This window comes from Homo sapiens, chromosome 8 (genome assembly GCF_000001405.40).
Source record: "Homo sapiens chromosome 8, GRCh38.p14 Primary Assembly".
Classification (NCBI taxonomy): Eukaryota; Metazoa; Chordata; class Mammalia; order Primates; family Hominidae; genus Homo; species Homo sapiens.
This window is the reverse complement of record NC_000008.11, coordinates 19,654,316-19,678,044: the sequence shown is the minus strand read 5'-3', so window position 1 is coordinate 19,678,044 and position 23,729 is coordinate 19,654,316. Positions and strand designations below refer to the sequence as shown.

At 41.7% G+C, this 23,729-nt stretch overlaps 1 protein-coding gene across 41 annotated transcripts in view, besides 1 other annotated feature; it reads left to right on the top strand.

Moving 5' to 3' along the window:
* CSGALNACT1 (chondroitin sulfate N-acetylgalactosaminyltransferase 1) overlaps nucleotides 1-23,729 on the top strand; it is a 353,748-nt gene that overhangs the window by 79,864 nt on the left and 250,155 nt on the right. The window lies entirely within an intron of this gene.
* Nucleotides 12,289-13,488: an enhancer, noted in NCBI's record as "BRD4-independent group 4 enhancer chr8:19522068-19523267 (GRCh37/hg19 assembly coordinates)". NCBI's record gives its function as "activates an origin of replication core promoter dependent on BRD2, P300/CBP, MED14 and CDK7 cofactors, and independent of BRD4, by STARR-seq in HCT116 cells {active_cell/tissue: HCT116}" and the evidence as "EXISTENCE:reporter gene assay evidence [ECO:0000049][PMID:35650434]".

The following is a 23,729-nucleotide window of genomic DNA, read 5'->3' as shown; positions in this document are numbered from 1 at the left end:
GCTTCCACCTCCTGGGCTCAAGCATGTCAGCCTCCCAAGTAGCTGGGATTATAGGTGCCCACCACCACATCCAGCTAATTTTTTGTTTTTCAGTAGAGTTGGGGAATCACCATGTTGGCCAGTAATTGTTTTATTGAAAAACAGTCTTCTAATTGTTTTTCAGACAATTTGAAAATTGCAGTCATCTGTGACCTTTAACATTCCCTAAAAATTCCTACCTATGCCCCTGCTGAATTTCTGCTTTACCTATTTCCCTAGTCCAGAAACTCTCTGGCTTTACCTTTCTCCTCAACCTTCAACATCTCACCTTTCCTTAATATCAGCTGGTGACCCTGCTTCTTACTTCGCTGAAGTAAAAACATTATGAAGACAGTATTTACATTCAATACTAAATTTACAAACCTATCCACATCTGAACTTATAGACTGATTTCCTTCTAGCTAAAATGTGCATACTCTGGCCCTGCACATGCCAAAGCCCTGCCCTTTTTGGGTGCTAGCTCCTGTCCTTCTCACTTACTGAAGGTCATTGTTCTAATGTTGGTTAATCTGTCCTGGTACCATTAGTTTTTCTTCTCTACTGTGTCATCTCATCAGCATACAGAAATATCTTTCATCTTACAAAATGTACTCGCGGCTGGGCATGGTGGCTCACACCTGTAATCCCAGCACTTTGGGAGGCCGAGGTGGGAGGATGACTTGAGGTCAGGACTTCAAGACCAGCCTAGCCAACATGGCAAAATGCTGTCTCTGTAAAAGATATAAAAAAATTAGCTAGGCGTGGTGGTGCATGCCTGTGGTCCCAGCTACTCAGGAGACTGAGGTGGAAGGATCACTTGAGCCCAAAAACTCAAGGCTGCAGTGAGTAGAGATTATAAGACTGTATTCCATCCTGGGTGACAGAGTGAGACTCTGTTTTAGGAGGAAAAAAAAAAGCATTCTCAAAGCCACCTCTGTTTAGCTTCTGGTGCATTCTTTCTTCCCTTTTACTGAAAGAATTTTCTACACTCCCTCTCCTTTCTTTTCTTGATCCTCTTTAGTTTGACTTTTGTCTCTAGTCCTCTACGAGACTGGTCTTGTCAATGCTACTAATAACTCTTTCATTGTCAAATCCATTGGTTGGTTGCTCTCAGTTCTAATCGGGCTTCATTTATCAGTAGTGTTTGACATGATGGTTCACTCCTTTCTTCTTGATTTTCTTCCTTTGGTTCCAGTACCGAGCCTCCCAGTTGTCTTCCTGAAAGATCCTTCCAATCCTGTCTGGGTTGATGGTTTCTCTTCCTCTTGCCAATGTCTAAACAGTGGACAATGCTTGTGCGGCTCCCGAGGCTTTTTCCTCCTGCTGCTTAATTTATAGGTGTTCTTACCAAGTTCCATGACTGTTTCTGCAAATGTTGATTTTTGGTCTTAATTTCTTCCTCTGTTCCTTCTTATACTACACAGCATGTATTACATCTTTTGGTATCATTCCACAAGTTACTGAGGCTGAATTTATTATAATCGTTCAGTCTTTATTCTTTGTTCTTCAGATAGAATAGTTTCTGTTGATGTTCAAGTACTGACTTTTCTTGACTGTTACCTCCATTCTGCTTCAAGACGATTCCGTGAATTTTGGATTTCAGATATTCTGGTTTTCAGTTCTATAATTTCCACTGGGTTCTTTTTTATAGTTCCTGTTTCCCTGCTGGGAATGCCCAGCTTTCCATTTATTTCAAGAGCATTTGCCTTATGGAACATAGCTAAAATAGCTGCTCTAAAGCCTTCACTTGATAATTCTAACATCTGGGTCATGTTGGAGTTGGCATCCGTTGATTGTCTTTTCCGTTGGAAACTGGTGACATTTCTCCATTTCTTTGTGCCTTGAGTAATTTTGCATTGTCCTGAACATTGTGAATGTTATCTTGTGTAAACTCTGGTTCCTTTTGTAATCTGGGAGTTTTTTTTGTTTTGTTTTGTTTTTTAAATCAGACAACCACCATCCATCGTGGTTAGGTTCAGGCTGCAAGTAGTTCTGTCTCGATCTCTATTGGTGGTGTTTCCAGTGTGAGTTGAGATTTTTAAAGCCCTGGCTTTCCACTTTGGGTCTGTCCTGAAATTGTATCACCAGGGATTACTTTGAGATTTGGGCCCTGGTGTGAATCTTGGTTCAGTCCTCAGGTCTCTGTTATATCGCTTTGAGTGTGTCCTGCCCGCATGTGACTTGGATGAACCTGAGACCTTGGGCAGAGTGGGGTGGAGGTTCATATATAGAATTAGGGCGCAGGGCACAGTGGCTTACACTTGTAATCCTAGCATTTTAGGAGGCTGAGGTGGATCACGAGGTTAGGAGTTTGAGACCAGCCTGGCCAACACAGTGAAACCCTGTCTCTACTAAAAATTAAAAAAATTAGCTGGATGTGGTGGCACGTGCCTGTAATCCCAGCTACTCAGGAGGCTGAGGCAGGAGAATCACTTGAACTCAGGAGGCGGAGGTGATAGGGAGCCAAGATCGCGCCACTGTACTCACTCCAGCCTTGGTGTCAGAGGAGACTCTGTCTGGGGGGAGGGATGGGAGGGAGAAGAATTAGAGGATCTCTCTCTCCAGCTCTCTCCTCTCTGTGGTTCCACTCATTTTCTGATTCATAAGAATCCCTTTTCCTCTTTGATTTCTGTAAGATTTATCTGATTGTGGACCTCTGTGACTGGTGCCCACCCTTGGGGCAAGGCCGTTAGAGAAGTAGGAGCAGGGAAAGTGGGGGAAGGAAATTAACCCTATCTTAGGTTACTTTGCCAACATTTGACTCCTCTCTACATCCTGCCTGATTTTGTTTTGTTTTCCTAGTTCTCAGGTAGTTGCTGTTTATATTTTGTTGAGAATTTCTAGTTGTGAGCAGAGGAAGAATGGCTGGGCACTTACCATGATAGCTCCATGACTTTAAATACCCTATTGGCAACTCTCAGATTTACCTGTGTTGCCTGGACCTCTCACCAGACTTTTATTTCTTGCCTGGATTTCTTCCCAGAACTCAGTATCTTCATCTAGATGATGTCAATTGAGCATCTCAACTTTGAGTCTCAAGATGGATTCTTGACCTCCTGCCTTGGTCTTCCCCGACTTCAAGATGGGCAATGCCCTGCTTTCATTGTTCAGGCCAGAAACTCTGGATTCATCCATGACCCCTCTCATTCTCTCATACCCAAATCTAAGCCATTAGCTACTTATGATTTTTTTTTTCAAAATATATCTACAACCAGACAACTTCTTCGCGTTTCCAGGGGATCATTTCTCACATACAGAGCCATCACTGCCTCCTAACTGCCCTCCCTGCTCCCAATTATTTCCCTTCAGTCTATTCTTCACCTCACGGTAAGTTAGAAGGTAAGTTAGATTCTGTCAAGCTTTATTTCACACCACTGCCCTCCACCAATCACTGCTTACCTATCACTGCGGATAAAGGCCAGGGTCCTGGAGTGACTTCTGCGGTGGTAGGGTCATCTCTCCCCATTGCCCATTCCTGCCTTTTCCCACTGTTCTTCTCCCTCCTCTGGCTCTAAACACCCAGCTTCTGCAGTCGCCTTCACCTTTGAATCTGACATTGTCCTGCCTCAGGGTCTTTTTCCTTCTTCCGTCTTCCCCCCTGCCACCATATCTGCAGGATTATCTCTCACTCAACTTCTGATCTCTGCTGAGATACCACCTCCATTCCTCTTGATCCCCTCTTATTGTGCATTATTCACTGCATTCATCAGACCTCCCTTAAAATTTTTTTTTTTGAGACACAGTCACACTTTGTGACCCAGGCTGGAGCGCAGTGGCACTGTCTTAGCTCACTGCAACCTCCACCTCCCAGGTTCGAACAATTCTCCTGCCTCAGCCTCCTGAGTAGCTGTCACTACAGTTGTCCGCCACCACACCTGGCTAATTCTTTTTTCGTATTTTTAGTAAAGACGGGATTTTGCCATGTTGGCCAGGCTGGTCTTGAAGTCCTGACCTTAAGTGATCTGCCTGCCTTGGCCTCCCAAAGTGTTGGGATGACAGGTGTGAGCCACTTCCCAACCAGATCTGACTTCTTAGATATCTCTGTGCCTTCTGCCCTTCACCTAAGCTCTTAGATGACAAGTTCTCTGCATTTATCTTTTCAGTAATATATTTTGGGTGCCTAGAATAGTGCCTGGCACAGGATAGGCACTCACTAAATATTTGTTGGTTGAGTGCACCAAAAGACAAACAATATTTTCAGAGTACTTCTTCACAAAAAGGAATTTCATAGGGTTAATTTCTATTCTTTTAAAACTCTGTTTCAAAAGAACGCTGCAGAAATTGTATGGTAACAAGTGTGCTAAGATGTTGACATCCACACACCCACCTTTGGGGTATGGAACATTAGCACGTGGTAGAAGCAGACAAATTCATTTCTAACTCTTACCTACTGGAACTGGGTTGCTTGTTTCCCATCAGATCATTTCTCAGGATAGCGATGGGAATTAAAGATGGAAATACACGTGGCTTTCACTCTTTTCTCCTGTGGTGCATCTTGAAGACAGACAAGAGTGGTGTGTAACAGTGTGGAAGCCAGCTGAGACCACATAGTGCCTAGCAACTTTGGTCTCATTATCCCTGCCGTCTTGGTTTGCTGTGACCAGATCTCATGATGATGAATGATAAAGAGCTGTCGCATGCATCTACAGTCCTGAGCATGAGCAAGTTGAAACAATCGTTGTTCCTAGAGTCTTCACCTTCTCCACTTTCAGTGCCTTTGAAACACAGCCAGGTTAGTTGTGAAGCTGCAGTAGTTACGTAGCACCAATACTCAAACCTGGAATCCCAGTGAAGGCTCTGAGTCCCATATCCCCTTTGTTCCTTGCATCGGAGTCCATTTTTAGTGCAGTGGATGAATGGCTGTGTGGGTCCTTCTCAGAAAGGACAATGGTCACAGCGGGTGTGTGTTCTCACTGCTGGTGTGTGTAAGACGACATTTGCCCCTTGTTCTAAGGCTACATTATAAATTAGGAAATGTTTTGAGATGGCTCTTTGATTTCACTTCGAACTCTGAAAAGAGGGCCTTGGAAAGAGGATGTTGAGACTTCTAGAAGCAGTGAGATACAGTGGTTAAAACTCAGAGGTTTCCATTGGCTAAACAGTGAAACTCTAATCACTCAGTAGCATGAACCCAGACTGAAGCAGCTTCAAGTGATGAATAACTGATGTAGCCTGTTTTTTTATTTTTATTTTTTGAGTGCAGTATTTTCTTGTTCACTAACTTTTCTACAAATCATTTTCAGGCTTTTTCATCTTGGTGTGACAGTATAAAAAATAAGTTTCTTTTTGATAAGAGCAGCAGCTAAATACTATGGTTGGAATTCGGAATGTTGGTTTATGAACTATTAAAAAGATGCTTTTCATTTATGTTACCAGTGTAAGGCATTATATAAATGTCATCTATAAGTGACTGGAAAGAAGGAAAATAATGCAAGGGTTTTCTGCTATTAAGCATTTATATTAGATAGTCAATAGTATTCTTTAGCTGTCCAGGTTGAATGGTGGTTTCCAGCATCCTAAAGGCATTCAGGGAAATACTTTGCAGTCTTGTTAAAGCGATGCTGAATATGTCTGAGATATGACTCACTCCTTACGGTGAAAGGTGGGAGAAGAGAAACATTGCCAGGCATCTCCCTGGCTGTATGGAAGCCAGAGTGTTTATGAACACTCAATTTTTTTTGTTCATTTATTAATCTAATGGGTATTGCATGTTCTTCTCTGTTCCTGCTACTGTGTTAGGCGTCTAAGGAAGAGTTCTCCTCTGATACATAGAGTATTTGATATACAGAGAAGCTGATGGAGAGATGGGAAAGCCGAAGAAATTCCATGAGCTTGATGGAAAAAATTGCCATGTGTGGGAGGCAGGAACCTTGACAGAAAGAGAGGGAGACAAAGAATCTGAGCACATTGCTTTAAGATACTGATGCCCTATGCAGCTCAAGTATATCATGAGCCTTAACACTATTTGTACCAAATTCTATGTAAATGTACCACTTTATGTTGCTTTTAAGGAAATGGAAGCGTTATTTATAATAGCTTTTTTAAAAAACATCTAACTGCCCCAATGAGTAGAACAGTTAATTATGGTGCATATGTGGTACATTCATGAGATGGAATTCTCTGCAGTCATTAAAAGTTATATTGCAAAAGAATATTTAATGGCTTGGGGATATCCTCATTATATAATAAGTGGGAAAAAAGCCAATAAAACAGTAGGATCTCAATTTGGTAAATCTATATTCTCAATTTAGAGCAAGTTGACTCCCCTAAGTTTGTAGCTCCCCCCACCACCCCGCACTCCCAATCCTTTTACCCTGCTCTACTCTTTACTTCGTCCCTACTACCTTTTAACATACTTGACATTTACTTGTCTTTATCAATGACTTTTGTGTTTCTCTCCTAATAGAATATAAGTTGCGGGAGGGCAGGGAAGTTTGTCTGTTTTTCTCACTATATGTCCCAGAAGCCTAGAACAACATTTGGGGTGTAGCAGATTCTGATAAATACTGTACTTGGTGAATAAATGAGTGAAGGAAATGTGGTTGGATTATGATATTGGTGGGTGTTAACTTTATAAATTTTACTTGTGGGTTTTCCATATTTTCCATAATAAAAATGGGTTACCTCTGTAATTGGAGCTTGAAAACAACATTGTTGCCTGTGAATTTGTCGTGTACACCTAACTAGTTCATCCATAGGGAATGGCTGAATAGAGGATTGAAGAGAGCAGAATCAAAGCCTTCCAGTTGCAGGCAGAGAATATTGTCGAGGGCCATCTTAGAACCTTCAGGGTCTGGCATGGGTTCTGTGCTTAGCTGACTGCTGGGTTTTGAGCCTGTCCTTGCCTTTTCTATTCCCCATTCCACCCTGGCTCTTTCCAACACCCTTCAGGCCAGTCAGTTGACTTAACTCTTCCTGCCCTCCACTCTGGGCTAATTCTGGTAATAACCATCTCCAAGTCTGGCTTCTGTCTCCTTTCTAGGCTGCACTTTTTCTGGTCACCATTTCAAATTTTGTTTTCGTCTAATGTCAGTTTGAGTTTTGACTTCCTTTTAAGGTCTTCTGTAACTACTCTGGCCTTGTCCTCCCTTAAGTCCCCATGGCACTTGTGGAGTAGGCCAAGCACACAGTGCAGTTCTTGGAGCTGGGCTTCAGGGGAGTCATATTTACAATGGACATTAACCAAAGGGGCCAAAAGCTACTTGTGCCGGAAGCCAAGTAGAATCTGGCTCAATCTATTTTAGGACAGAAACCATAGAAATGCTTTAAGCACATATGCTGTACTTGTCTCATGTGTTATCTTTTTTCTACAAGCAAATGACAAGCTGCTTGAGAGAAGGTTTCTATTTTCTCTTTTTTTTTTTTTTTTTTTTTTTGTCTTCAGTAGTGCATAATCAGTTCTGGTCTGAGGGTTGATATCACCTACTTATTAGTCGGTTGATCCTTGGTTTCCTGTGTATAAAATAAATGTCATTTCTGACCCTTCAGAGATGGCATAAGAATAATATAGGGGCAGTGATTCCAGCACCTTAGAAGGCATTATGTATGTATGTACATATATATTTAATGACATTTTCTTATTAACATTTAAAAAGCTAATAAACTAAAGTGAAATGTTCAGGATATAACTTGGCTGCAGTAATCTTCTGTTGTTAAAATGGTACAATTTTTATTCAGGGGATACAGATTGATTTTTGGGAAGGAGGATTTTATGTAACAGATTATTCAATTCCACAAAAGCTCACTGAGATTCTACTAGTTATAAGGTACTGCAATGGGCACTGAAGGAGACTGTGGAGGTCATTTAAAAATAGTCCCTGAACTCTCCAAAGTGGGATTATAAGTGCAAAAACAGTGCCCAGGATGAGTAGGAAAGCCACATTACAGATTGAAAGAAGGAAGAAGTTGCATGCGATCTGGGGACAGGCAAATGTGCAGGGAGTAGGGGACATGGCAATGAACTACAGAATTAGGAATTTTGGTAGGTAGGAGTAGGTAGACCTGGGATAATTGAAGAATTCCAGGTGGAAATAATAAAATATAAAAGAAATGGGAAAGGAGGCATTTTGAGGGGAGAGTGAGTTGTTTGTCCACAGGACTGCAGGAGACATGCAGGTGAGGGGCTGGGAGATGAAACTGAAAGGTAAGTTTGAATAGTATCTGGAGGGCCTTCATGCTGCAATAAGCTGTTTTCAGCATGCAAATTAATGTTGCCACAACATTAGAAATGGCTTCTGAAAGACATGGTTTACAGCTGGGCACAGTGGCCCATGCCTGTAATCCCAGCACTTTGGCAGGCCAAGGCCAGTGAATTATTGGAGGTCAGGAGTTTGAGACCAGCCTGGCCAATGTGGTGAAACCCCCATCTCTACTAAAAAAAACAAAACAAAAACAAACAAACAAAAAACTGGCCAGGCATGGTGGCAGGCACCTATTAATCCCAGCTACTCAGGAGGCTGAAGGAGGAGAATCGCTTGAACCTGGGAGGGAGAAGTTGCAGTGAAGGAAGGTCGTGCCACTGCACTCCAGCCTGGGTGACAGAGGGAGACTCCATCTCCAAAATAAAAACCAAACAAACAACAACAAAAAAATTAGAAACGGTTTACAGTTTTTATTTGGTTTGGTAGAGTAACCATGTGCTTTGAATGTTTGTAGTTTTTATGATAGTGTCCTCCATCTCGGGATGAAATTTATTAAGCAAGGGTACATATTAATAAAATTGAAGAGAAAGTTGTTTGCTTCCAGAAACATAGATGGTAGTCATTTTCCTCTTCTGTGGTTGCATGTCTGCTGGGTTAGACTAGTGCTTGCATTTGCAAATCTACTCAAATTCCTATTGGGGAAATGGAGGTAAATTTTCAATGATTAAATTATTTTCTCAAAGCCAAATAGCAAATGATCAACATACTTTTGAATGAAATCCACATGTCTAGACTCCAAGAAGCCTGCTGTATCTGAGACCTTTTGTTTTACACAGAATTTGTTTGAGAGCCTGTAAATATTCATCTGTAATAAGTTGTTTTTCTGCAGAAGCATTTTGGTGAGAAATGAATACTTTGATCACTGGAAATTCATAGATTATTACAGTATTTCAAAAGGTTTCCTAGTATTTCAAGAAGGGTGTTCCTTATCCAACGTGATTGATCCCATTTTCCCATTTTAAATAAATTGGCAGGCCGGGCACAGTGGCTCACTCCTGTAATCCCAGCACTTTGTGAGGCCTAGTCTGGTGGATCACCTGAGGTCAGGAGTTCAAGACCAGCCTGGGCAACATGGTGAGACCCCATCTCCTAATAATCCAAAAATCAGCCAGGCATGGTGGCGCTCGCCTTTAATGCCAGCTACTTGGGAGGCTGAGGCAGGAGAATTGCTTGAACTGAGGAGGTGGAGGTTGTAGTGAGCCAAGATCATGCCACTACATTCCAACCTGTGTGACAGAGCAAGACTTGGTCTCAAAAATGAAAATAAAATAGATTGGCATTTTAGATGTATACAGCTAGGAATCTTTGGGTTTGAGTTTACTCATGAAGTAATTGATCAGTTATTTAAGAATACTTTTTTCTTATGTTACTTAAGGATTCAACTTCTTAATAATTTTTTAGTTTTTAAATTCTAAAATTACAAAAACAAAGGCTCATGTGGAATGATTGCCTTTTTTGATAAAGTTGTGTGTGTGTGTGTGTGTAACCGTGCATGTATGTGCAAGACAGAGATTGAGCTATGAGTGGCTAAGGAAGCTGAGGGGTGTCTGTCCCCAAACTTTGTCCCTGAGGTGACTGCAGAGATGAGGGTGCAATTAAAGGAACAGAGGAAAGCAGTGATGAGATGCTGTGTGATTTTACCATTCCTTTTTTGCATTTTTGAACAAAATATAGGAAAAATCTATGAAAACTATTTTTCATTGTGTAGATGACCATGTTTCATATTTGGGAGCCAGTTGTATTTCTCTCTCTGGAAAAGTTAAAGGATGTAATATATGCTGGTCAAGTTTTTATATTCTTACTTTCTAGCTTCTTCTAATATTTGAATGGTTAGGTTTCCTTCAGTTCAACTTCACTATGCTCATTTTCACAGTTGTGATCTGCGCTTTAATTCTATTTCTTCTTAAAATATTTAGTTGGAGGAAATTCCATGATCGTTCATTGAGTTTAATACTTTTTTATATGCTTTATCAGATTTTTGAATTCTTACCAGTATGTAATACCCTTATAATGAAAATATGTGGATGGTATAATCTTACATTACATTTTCTGTGGCTTAAGTTAGTGATTTATGGCCTATGATTTTTACATTTTTGATCACGAAGCAGCAAATGACCTTTGCAGCTCTTTGAAAGCTCTCCTGATCTGAGGAAGAGACGTTAGTCTTAGGGTTTCAAGTACCTTCTCCTTACTGCCGTTTTGTGGTCATGTTGCATTAAGGGCCTTGACTTGTTCATAATTCATCAGCCTTGGTTCAAAGGGGGTGGAACACGACTGACTCTCTCATTGCAGTTCATTGTTCTCTTACCGTTGTGAGAAGTCATAATTAAATCACTTCACTCTTTAAGCACTAAGGTAGAATAGAAATAATGTCTTGATTTTTGTTTTTTGAGACAGGGTCTTGCTCTATTGCTCAGGCTGGAGTGCAGTGGTGTGATCTCAGCTCACTTCAGCCTCAACCTCCTGGGCTCAAGCAGTCCCCCTAACCTCAGCCTCCTGAGTAGCTGGAATGAGGGGCATGTGCCACAACACCCAGCTAATTTTTGTATTTTTTTTTTTTTTTTTTTGGTAGAGATGGGGTTTCGCCATGTTTGGCAGGCTGGTCTCAAACTCCAGAGCTCAAGCGATCCACCCACTTCTGCCTCACAACTTGCTGGGATTACAGGCATGAGCCTGTGCACCTGGCTGAAATTATGTCTTTTGATATTGTGATGAGATTTCTTTCCCTTTCTTTCTTTCTTTCTTTCTTTCTTTCTTTCTTTCTTTCTTTCTTTCTTTCTTTCTTCCTTCCTTCCTTCCTTCCTTCCTTTCTTTCTTTCTTTCTTTCTTTCTTTCTTTCTTTCTTTCTTTCTTTCTTTCTTTCTTTCTTTCTTTCTTTCTTTTTCTCTCTCTCTCTGTCTCTCCCTTCCTCCCTTCCTCCCTTCCTCACTTCCTCTCTCTCTTTCTTTCTTTCTTTCTTTCTTTCTTTCTTTCTTTCTTTCTTTCTTTCTTTCTCTCTCTCTCTCTCTCTCTCTCTTTCTTTCTTTCTTTCTTTCTTTCTTTCTTTCTTTCTTTCTTTCTTTCTTCTTTCTTTCTTGTTTCTTGTGTTTCTTTCTTGTCTTTCTTTGTGTCTTTTCTCTCTTTCTCTCCCGGGACAGTCTTGGTTTGTCAATTAGGCTGGAGTGCAGTAGCACAATATCGGCTCACTGTAACCTCTGCCTCCTGGGTTGAAGCTATCCGCCCACCTCCTCTCCCTCCTGAGTAGCTGGGATTACAGGCACTCACCACCACACCTGGCTAATCTTTATATTTTTTAGTAGAGACAGGGTTTCATCATGATGGCCAGGCTGGTCTGAACTCCTGACCTGAAGTGATTCACCCGCCTCAGCCTCCAAAAGTGCTGGGATTACAGGTGTGAGCAACCACACCTGGCTGAGAAAATGTTAATAGATGAATTGGGTGAAGTAGCTAAATAGAATAGGAAGAAGTAGAAGAGACAGGGTTTTCTTCATGGGAGCTGGAGCAAGTTGTTTGATTTTGTCTGGGCTTCTATTCCTCTAGTTATAATATGAGGACAATAGATGGTTTTAATTTCCCTACAGCACTCAGATTTTAAGGTCTGACGGTGAAAGTTGTGGCAAGAACACTGTTAGAATACCTTGTTCCTTTTCTAGCATTCAAATCCAGCTTCCGTGGAGCACCCTCCTTTCACCAGTGTTGTACAGGAACAAAGGGAAAAATCTTGAAGTCTGCCTGGATTTAAACTAGACAAACAACTTGAAATAACTCCAAAAAGATTAAAAATAACCCAAATCTGGACTGCCATGTGAGAGCTGTGATGAAGAAAGTCTAAAACAATGAGGAATCTTCAACTAGAAAAAAGATGGAGAAAATAAGAAGCCTGGAAAATCGACAATGTGGTTAGATGAATGTAGGTCCATTGATCTTGTCCTGGGAGGTGAGACTAAGAGGAAGTTGAAATGTTAACTGTAAATGAATAGAGAATGTGTTCTGTTTACGTAGCGAAGAACACATTTTTAGTTATTCATTATCCCAGGTGTAATTAACCAAACCCTTCTATTATGAATTAAGAGAGAGGAATGGGGAAAATTGACGTCCTTTGTCAGGCTTAGAAGACCACATCTTCCTAGGGTACAAGTTCATCTTTGGTTCTGGTCGCAGAACCAAGTTCTGTGCTGGGTGGACTGTGGTTTTGCCCCAGGCTTGCAAGTCAGTGATGACATGGGAAAGTCCGTGGCTTCCTGGGCCTGATGTTGGGAAAAGGCATGGTGAGTCATCCTCAGGGAGATTTCAACACAGGCTGTGAATAAAGAGCATTTATTCCGTCAAATGTTTACCCGCAGCCTGAGTACCTTTGAGGCAGTTGCCTCTTACTCCTTCTGAGTTTTGGCCCCGGACGTTATCTTAGGAAGCAAGCTGTTCATAAACAGACATTTGTAACCACTTAAAATACTGTGTTGGAAGCCCAAAAGAGCCGTGGCATTTAATGTAACTTGGCTGTGAATACTTCTACAAAGAAGTTTGTCTTTTTAATCCCTGGATTTACCTATCAGTATATTTTGAAGCTGAGTAAAAATGGTATTTTTTTCTTTGATTTTGTATAAATTTAAGGGGTACGACACCGTCTGCACTAAAAATACAAAAATTAGCCAAGCGTGGTGGCACATGCCTGTAATCCCACCTACTCAGGAGGTTGATGGAGAAGAATCGCTTGAACTTGGGAGTTAGAGGTTGCAGTGAGCCAAGGTCATCTCAGTGCACTCCAGCCTGGGCAACAAGAGTGAAACTCCCTCTCAAAAAATAAATAGAGTACAAGTGCATTTTTGTTACATGAATGTACTACATAGTGGTAAGTCTGTACTTTTACTGTAGCCATCACCCAAATAGTATACATTGTACCCATTACGTAATTTGTTGTCTCTCACCCCCCATCCTCCCATTAGTAATCTCCAATGTCTATTGTTTTACACTCTGTATCCATGTATATACATTATTTAGCTCACACTTATAAGCGAGAAAATGCAGTATTTGACCTGTGTCTGATTTATTTCACTTGAGATAATTACCTCCAGTTCCAACTATGTTGCTACAAAAGACATTATTTCATTCTTTTTTTGTGGCTGAGTAGTATTCCATTGTGTATATGTGTGTATGTGTGTATGTGTGTGTGTGTGTGTGTTTGTGTGTTTGTGTGTGTGTACATACATCCACACTGCATTTTCTTTAAGCATACGTTGGTGAATACTTAGATTCCATATCTTTGCTGTTGTGAACGGTGCTGGGATAAACATAGGAGGGCAGGTGTCTTTTTAATGTAATGATTTTTCCTTTGGGTAGATACCCAGTAGTGGGATTGCTGGTTCAAATGGTAGTTGTATTTTTAGTTCTTTGAGAAGTCTCCATACTGTCTTCCTTGAAGGCTGTACTAATTTACATTCCCACCAGCAGTATAGAAGTGTTGCCTTTTCTGCACCTCCTCGCCAACGTCTGTTATTTTTTGACTCTTTAATAGTAGCCATTCTGACTGCTGTAAGGTGATCTCATTGTGGTTTTAGTTTGCAAAATGCCATTTATTCATCCTGCAATCCTGTAAAACTAGTAATGTCTCAATTCCATTCCTAGATTTACAGCTTTGAAAAACACGTTCAACATAAAATGTGAGTCTAAGGAACATTTAGGAGAGGATATCAATATCAAGAAGTAATGGCAAATAAACTCTTTCCAGGAGCCTGGGCCGAGCCATTGTGTGGGCACCTGGCAGGGTGTGGAGGGTTTCCTGGCCTACCCCTGGCCCGCGCTTTCACCAGCTGGGAGTCGGCCTGTCTGCTGGTAATTGGAAAAGATTTCTCTGTGAAGATGGTGTCACTTCTACTCTTTGTACAAGAGTGACATTTGTCTGTTTTAAAACTGCCAGGGTCTGGCATCTGAACCCACATCTGAAGGTCATGTTGGGACCATATCAAACATGAAGAGGAGAGAATTGTGGGATGGAGGAGAAGGGCTGCATTATCTATCTGGCTCTTATCTGTTCTCATGCCTGAGATTCCTTCTTGATGAATTGAAACTGTTTGCACAATAGAAATGTAGTATTGCGTTTTCCTCAAGTTATTCCAGGTAATACATTTGTCTCTTTAAGTATGTTGTATGTACTTTTCCCTAGTGTCTGTCTTCCTCCCCAATTGGTAATCATTCCTCAAATCTTTGTACAGGATGTGAATTTGAAGCTTAAGGAGGTACCACTGTACCCAGGCTGTCAGCTCTAGAATTGCCTGTTTCTTCCCTGTGGAAGCATGAATGCTACGCTCTTTGGAACAGAGTTGCTTGTAGGAACCTCTCGTGCTAGGGGGAAAGGAAAATTGGGATGTTAGTCATTGACTGCTTTAAACTTAAAATTTGCTCTGAATATATTTACTTGTAGTGAGTGATTTTTCAGTAAGTTTTATTTTTAGATTTTGGCGAGAAGAGGACTTAAGAGCACCCAAAGAAAACAGGGTTTTCGTAGTATTGTATCCTTCAACCATCGTAGGAAGGGGAGAAAAAAACCTCAGGTACAATTAAGTACAAGCCTGACCCTAGGGTCATGGAAGATGGAAAAATCCATCTTCACAAGTGTAGTTATCTTTTTTAATAGACTGCTGTTCCATGGAAATGTTTCTCCAACTGGGCATGGTAGAGGCAGAGTGGCATGACTCTTGAATGCCACAAAGGGATCTGGGGCATTGTGGAGGCAGTGATCATGACTAATGAGGAACGCAATAGATTGATAGAGAGCATCCTGCATTGTTCTTTGCAACCCCTTCCAGGCATTTGTAGCACTAGCACTTTTTTCCCCCTTTCCTTTTCCTTGCATCATTACAGATGTGCCTGACACTGCAAACAGATGTTTGGGTTTCTGCCTTTGACATAGCCTCATTGTTTCATGGGAGTGGTTGAAGGCTCAGAGTAGCTGGATGTGTGGCATGACCTCCTGAATGGGGGGAGAATAGGACAGCTGTGCTAGTGCCCCAGCTGATGGGTGTGCTGTCTCTCCACTGCTCAGAGTGGATGGTGAAGACAGAGCCAAAGGTGAGCATTACCAGTGTGGACCACTGTTGCCCAAAGATGGAAACAGGACAAATATGTCTTTCAGATTTGTTTACCACACACACCCTAGCATCCACTTAGCAGGCACAGATGTTTCACTTCAGGATTTAAAGGTTTCCTATCAGCAAAGAGGAAATAATAGAATGGGAGGTCTTCCTAAGAAAGGAGTACACTGCTTCCTAGTAAAGCATAGTTAACTATTTAGGTTGCATCCAATTATTAGATGATGTGAACCTTTTTCACCCAAACATCAGCCTAACAGTTTAACTTTGATTCTTACATCAGTAGGAGTGTTAAGAACATAAAACCTTGTTGTAATTGTTTTGGTTGCTGGATTTCAGATATTTTTCTTTCTTTTTTAGAGGCAAGAATCTTTCTCTGTCGCCCAGACTGGAGTGCAGTGGTGTGATCTCGGCTCACTGCAACCTCTGCCTCTGGGTTCATGTGATTTCCTGCCTCAGCCTCCTGAGTAGCTGAGATTACAGGTGCACACTACCACGCCTGGCTAGTTTTGTATTTGTAGTGGAGATGGGGTTTCACCATGTTGATCACCTGCCTTGGCCTCCCAAGGTGCTGGGATTACCAGTGTGAGCCCCACCGCACCTAGCCTCAGTTGCTGGATTTCAATAAAGAGCTGAAGCTGCTGAAGATGCGGGGGGGGGGGGGGGTGGGGGGGGGTGGGGGCAACTGTAATAGTGGGAAAGGGGTTGCTGCTGGTAGGGATGGTTAAAAATACCTCAGCTCTTATCCCAGGATAGTGAACACCAGGAAGGGGAATGACTGCTATGGAAATAGGCTTCACCAAATCTTGAACTATTAGGATGAAGGAGAAGTCTTGGTCAAAATAAGTTGAGGTTATATACGAGGAGAAACTGTTCACATAGAGGCCCAGACACTGGTGAACTGGTGGGAGAAATAGAAAGGCAAGGCATATCCGTGATTTGAAATGAGTGGCACATCTGTAAGCAGCTTCTACTGGAAATGAAGACCTTACCTGACCTTCTGGATTCATGGAAAGGAATGGCCATATCCTCCCATGTGAACAGAATATTCCATGTGCTTGTCCCATTGTCATAAAGAGCATGGCATAGATGATCATGAATGAAGATCTGGGATGGCTATCCTATGTCCCATGCAATCCGGGCCACAAGTCACTTGTATTACTTAAACTCCACATAGCGGGAATAGTACTGTATTACAGAACATTTGAAAGGTCCTGGAGCAGCTATGGGCCAGAATACCAACCCTCATACAAGCACTGTGGGTTTGGTGCATTCCTTAGATTGAAGACAGTTTTTCATTGAGAGTTTTTACCTTCATTTAATAAATCCCTTTCGTCAGTGCCATGCAGGAGAACTTAGGACTTTGCAGCATTCCATTCAGGAACTGGGCCAGGTGACAGCAGTAGGTGACTCATCTTCACATGCTCTAGGCAGAGTCCCTGCCCAGTTTCCAGGCCATTGCAAGGCTGGAGAGATGAGGCTCTGGGAGAGGCCTTGTGGCTCCTGGGTGACAGAACTGAATGGTCCTCCTGGGAGTGGTGGCTTACGCCTCTAATCCCAACACTTTGGGAGGCTGAGGTGGGCAGATCACAAGGTCAGGAGATCAAGACCATCCTGGCCAACATGGTGAAATCCCGTCTCTACTAAAAAAAAAAAAAAAATTAGCCAGGTGTGGTGGCATGCACCTGTAGACCCAGCTACTTGGGAGGGTGAAGCAGGAGATTCGCTTGAACCCAGGAGGCAGAGGTTGCAATGAGCTGAGATGGCACCACTGCACTCCAGCCTGGGCGACAGAGCAAGACTCTGCCTCAAAAAACAAAAACAAAACAAACAAACAAACCTGAACGGTCCTTGTGCCATAGAATGAGGTCATTCTGGAGGTTTTGGGAATGTACACCCATGTAAGAACCTTGTGTTTTCCTGTGTGTAGAGAGTGTGTCCTTTTGGACAAAGGAGCCACTGATGTTCTAGGGACTGGTGATTTTCATCTACCATGTCATTGCCTTTAATATCAGGGATCATGGGGAGGTAGGCTCTGAGAATGTGCCTGTAACAACTGGAGCTTTTGTGAGTAAGAGGGGAGTGTTTCCTTGCTACCTAGTGGGTCCTGCATGGTGGCACACAAATTAACTCAGAACCCCAGACTCTTTAGATGTACCAGGACCAGAAGTTTCTGGTTGGGGCTACAGTTACCCCCAAATCACCTGGCTACGGCAAAGCATTGGTATTCCTCCCAATTTTTGAAGATGATAATCTTCTAGAGGCTGTGGCACCATAGTGTTACAGAGAGGTTACAGGGTTGAGTCTTATTTCTGCCACTCATCAGCAGTGACAGAAGGTATAATTATCCCCAATTTACAGATGAAGAAATTAAGGCTTAGGGGGATTAAGTAATTTGCTTGAGGTTGTGCAGTTAAGATCTTGGACTGTAACTCAAGTTTGTCTGGTCCCCAGACTGCACTCTTTCATCTGCTCCATCCTCTCATCTTTTTTGGTGAGGCAGACATTTATTGAATTTTCTCTGATCCCATGGCAGGATATATGGAATAATATAGAATGCCCTGTATCGATGTGGGTATGGAATTGTGGACAAGAATGTGAACTCTGAAGCCCCACAGATTGACCATTAAGTCATGGCTTCGCCACATCCTAGTTGTAAGACTGGGCAGTTGACTTAACTTCCCCGTGCGTCAGTTTCCCCATCTATAAGACTGGGACAATAATAGTACTACCTTGTACTTCTTAGAGTAGTAAATGAACTACTACAAAGAAAGCGGCTAGAGTCTAGCATATAATAAGTATTCGGTAAATGTGAGGCAGTATTTTTGCCATGATTTGCTGCCATCTCTTCAGGCAAGAGGATAAGTAGGCAATCTGGGATTAGCAGGAAGCAGCGATCTCCCCTGGGAGATGCACTGCTGGAGGGTTATGTGCTTTGGTCACAGTCTGGGCAGACAGTGCTCTGAGCTGCATGCCAGGCAGGTGCTCTTAAGCAACAACAGGAAAAGCTGGATGACCTGCCAGCCTTTAGCCAATAATGTAGGCAGAGATTCATGGGATGTGTATTCTATACTCATATGTAAAAGAGAAGATGAGAATTTAAGCTGATACCTGATTTTGTTGAAAAGCACTTTCGTGGTAACTTATGTGATCCAGGCAGATTCAATTCAAATATTTTTAGAGTCACTTCCAGTACAGAGACAGAAACTCTGGGGGATTCATATGACTAATTTTCTATGCCTGGGAAATAGTCAGTTCTGTCGGAAACACACACAGTTTGTCACAAAAGCCTTTGGAGAAGAGTTTGAATTGGCAATGAGAATTCATGTCTTGGGTTGATGCAAAGAGAGTGTGGACAGCACCTAGGATAAGGGAAGGAGCCCAAGTAAGAATCTGACATAGTTGGGATGAAGAAAGTGTTGCTTGAAATCAAGAGTGACCAATGGGAAATAATGCAAGACACAGGCAAAATGGAGCTGAGTTAGTCTTGCTTTCTAATATGGATCTAATGTGGTGGACAAAGAAATGCTACGTATACTGAGCTTATGTGAGATACCCTGATTAAACTTGGCCAAAATACATGTATCCCTCTAATGGTACATCAAACTTTAAAATGTCAATATCATCCTATAGAAAATGTACATGGTAAAGACATGTAAGGTGGTGGGTGGGTTGGGGGGAGCCCTGCCTTTTCAGTGAGAATTTAACAAGAGATTTCATTACTTAGATGACTGGGAAAAAAAACATTTATGAAGCTGGTTATTCACAGCTCCAACAGGTGTAACTAGCTACCAGGTACTGGCTTTTGAATATCATGCCCCAAAGACCTATTTAACTTAGAAAGATTTACCAGATAAGTGTTGGAAGATAAACACTATGTATCACTTTTCAGCCTCAATTCCCTTAAAGTAGTTGAAGCTTGCTGAATGTCATAGCTAATGAAAATATGGAGAAGCATAGCTGTTGCTTGTGGTGGTGGTGGTGTTTTTTGTTGTTGTTGTTGTTTTGAGACAGGGCCTTGCTTTGTCACCCAGGCTGGAGTGCAGTGTCGCGATCTCAGCTCACTGTAACCTCTGCCCCCCAGGTTCAAGTGATTCTCGTGCCTCAGCCTCCCAAGTAGCTGGGACTACAGGTGTGCACCACCATGCACAGCTAACTTTTGTGATTTCATTAGAGATGGGGTTTCTCCATGTTGGCCAGGCTGGTCTCAAACTCCTGACCTCAGGTGATCCACCTGCCTTGGCCTGCCAGAGTGCTGGGATTACAGGCATGAACCACCATGCCCGGCCTCTTGTTTGGTTTTTGAGATTCCTCTCTTTGACTTTTCTTAGTAACTATTATCTTGAAACATAGTTAAAGTATGGTTGGTGAAATAATAAATTATATTAATCACCTTGGGCTTACAAAATACCATAACAGATGTATTTTCTCAATTTGGGGGTTGGGAAGTCCAAGATCAAGGTGCTAGCTTATTTGGTTCCTCTTGGGGGCTTCCAGACAGCTACCTCCTGGCTGTGTGTGCACATGGCCTTTGCTTTATAAGGGCACTAATTCTGTTATAAGGGCACACCCTCATGACCTCATCTAGCCCTAATCACTTTCCAAAGGCCCCATCTCCAAATCTATCACATTGGGGGGTTAGGGCTTTAACAGGACTTTTTTTTTTTTTTTTTTTTTTGGAAGGAGGGTGAGAGGGCACACATATTCAGTCTAGAGTAATTAATTATTCTATCACTATTCTGCCTGAATAATGATTTCAAGGTTGAAAGAGACCTTAAAATATCAGCTAGTTAGACCACCAAGCTGATGCCTGAGTCTTCTCTGCCCCCAGGCCATCTAACAATGGCCTGGAAACCCCATCGGGGGTGCCCAAGGTGCTCTGTTGGACCCTCCACTTATTTTCCCAGTGGAAAAGTGGAGGTCCTTAAGATTGCCTATAAAAACCCATATAATTTCCTCCCGCATGCTACGTCTGTCCTCATCTCCTAGCACTTCTTGTTTTGCCCCAGGGTCTTACAACACTGTCTAGAACATTCTTTCCTCAGATTTGTTTTGCCCTTATTCTTAAGATGTTTTCTGACATAGTACCAATGCTAGATTGAGATTTACTTTTTCTCTTCACATGGAAGGTATTTTATACTGGATTTTGACTTCCATTGTGGCTCTTGAGAAATGGGGCTGTTGTTCCTTTAAAGATAATCCATCTTTTCATTCTATTTGTGTATTTGTCTTTGGTGTTCTGTGGTGTCTATGATATATTAGGTATGGTGAGTTTGTTATTGGATCTTCTGCAACTTTAGATTGATGTTTTTTGTCAATTCTAGAAAATATCCAACCATTATTTCTTCACATCTTGCCTCTGATCCATTCTTTCCTTTTCTCATAGAAATTCGATTGGATCTGTTAGACATGTTTGACATCCTCACGTCTTTCAGTTTATCTTTCAGTTTATCTTTCAGTTTATCTTTCAGTTTATCTTTCAGTTTATCTTTCAGTTTATCATCTTTCAGTTTATCTGTGTCTTTCTCTGGTTTATTCTGGATTTCTACAGCTCTATCTCCAAGTGCACAAATTGTCTCTTCAGCTGTGTCTAGTTTAGTAATAAAAAAATTCTTTGTTTTAAGTTTTACTTATTTTACATGGTTTTATTTGTTTTCCTTTTTTTTTTTTTTTTTAATGAGATGGAGTCTTACTCTGTTGCCTGGGCTGGAGTGCAGTGGCATGATTTCGGCTCACTGCAACCTCTGCCTCCTGGGAGGTGATTCTCCTGCCTCAGCCTCCTGAATAGCTGGGACTACAGGCATGTGCCACCAAGCTGAGCTAATTTTTGTATTTTTAATAGAAACAGGGTTTCACCATGTTGGCCAGGCTGGTCTGGAACTCCTGACCTTGTGATCCACGCGCCTTGGCCTCCCAAAGTGCTGGGATAACAGGCGTGAGCCACTGCATCTGGCCTACATGGTTTGATTTCTAAAAGTTCTATTTAGCTATTTTTAAAAGCTGCTTATTTTTAATAGTTTCTTATTTCATACTCACTTTATAAATTGCTACTTTTTATTTCTTTTAGACATGATTGTTTGATATTTCATGTTTGATAATTCTAATGTTTGAAGTCTTTGCTGATCTCGTGTGTGTGTGTGGGGGGGGGGCGTAGTTTCTCCTGGTTCTTGGTCACTGTGTGTGTGTGCATGCGCGTACACGTGTGTGTTTTAAGTGTAAATTCAGTTTCCTGAATATTTACCTGTGGGGCCTCTTTGAGGTCAAGATCGAAGGTGGGTTCCTCTATAGAAAGTTTGTTTGCTACTGCTAAGTTTCTTCTGGCACTAGCATCCTGGAATCACCTTAAAATTATTTTTTTTGGCTTGAGGTTTTTCAGGCCATATAAAAATGGTGAATTGGACTAGAGGTCCTATATGAGGGCTAGGTTTTGATTCCAGACTTTTAGGATAGATCTTTTTCCCTCTGTTTGCTCACAGGATTTGAGAGAATCAAATTTTCTTGCAGTTTCTGAGAGACAGCCATGCTGCTTGTTGATGTAACATTGTGCAGATTAGCAAAAGGCAATCCTATCTTCAGACACTTTGTTGCTATTGGTCAGAAACTTTTCATAACATGAGAGTCCATGATGACTGAAGTGAATGGAGTTCCCAGAGTTGTGTGAAGCACAAGTTGCCCTCACCTAGGCTTGTGATGTACCCCCTTCCATTCTGCCCTATCAAATCCTGCTCAACCTCCAAAGTTTAACTGAAATACTCTATCCTCTGAGAAGACACCCGTGAATCCCCCAATTCTAACCCCAAATGGTCCCCTCCTTTCAATTAGCATAGTAGTGGCACATTGATCACAAATTTCTACCTTTTGTTATTATTTTTAAGTCTCCTATTACCAGACTGAGAGCTGCATGTTTTATTCATATTTCTATGTTCCATAGCCTCGAAGAGATAGTTGGAATATTTTTGTACAATAAGTGAAAAAAATTTTTCACTTTTCACAAATTTTTCACAAAGAATTAAAAAAGACTAGCAGCTGGGTTGGTGGCTCATGCCTGTAATCCCAGAACTTTGAGAGGCTGAGGGCAGGTCACTTGAGGACAGGAGTTTGAGACTATAGCATAGGCAACATGGCAAAACTCTGTCTCTGCAAATATATATATATATATATGTGTGTGTGTGTGTGTGTGTATATATATGTGCATATAGATGTATATGTAAAAATTAGTGGGGAATGGTGGCACATGCCTTAGTTCCAGCTACTTGGGAGGCTGAGATGGGAGGATTGATTGAGCCAAGGAGGTCAAGGCTGCAGTGAGCCATGATAGTGCCACTGCACTCCAGCCTGCACAACAGAGTGAGACCCTACCTCAAAAGAAAAATAACACCCAACTAGCAAATAGGAAGGTGCATCGTGACTGTATAGTTGAGAAAGACTGTCAGAGTGGGTAAGAGCCTTCTCTTGAGTGATGGCATACCGTGTCATAAAGGGCTTGGATTTGTTGGTGTCTCAGTGCCTGAAGTGTAGAGTAGCTTGGCAGAACTTTCATCCTATCATCACGGAGTCAGAGATGTCTTCTACAGAGGAAAATCTTTGCACCATTCCAGGAAAATGACTTCTGCTAATCACTATTTTCCAAAGAGCGATTAGGCCATGGTGTTCTACAAAAATGACTTCCCTAACATTTATTGGCTTATTACTCAATGTATTTTGATACCCATTTTTTAAATAAAGGAATGTATGTCAGTCTTTCTTCCTTTTTAATTCTGGTCTACCATCAGGTGATTTTAGAATTTTTTTTTTTAGTAGAACTAGGGGAATACTTTCTTTGAAATCTTGATTACTAATATTTTGCTTTATTCGATACTTATGAAAAATTTTACTTTAAAAAATTACCTGACTTAGGCTGGGCACAGTGGCTCATGCCTGTAATCCTAGCACTTTGAGAGACCAAGGCCGGGAGGATTGCTTGAGCTCAGGAGTTCAAGACTAGCCGGGGCAACATAGCAAAACCCTGTCTCTACCAAAAATACAAAAAATTAGCTGGGCGTGTGGTGCATGCCTGTAGTCCCAGCTACTTGGGAGCCTGAGGTGGGAGGATAGCTTGAGCTCTGGAGGCAGAGGTTCAAGTGAGCTGACATCACAACACTGCACTCCAGCCTGAGTTATAGAGCAAAACCCCCTCTCAAAAATAATTACCTAATTTAAATATTTAAACACCCTACAACATCCTCATTTTAAACATGGGGAAACCAAGGAAAACATAATTTATCCTGGTCACTCAACCATTAAGGAGTTGGGGCTGCTGTGATCTGGATTTAAGTTCACCTGATTCGAAAGCTTTTCTCTTTCCAGTGCGTCACACACATTCAGACTTAATGGTAGGATTTGGGCAGATATTAAAGGTTAAACATTGAGTCTGTTGGAACTCCTT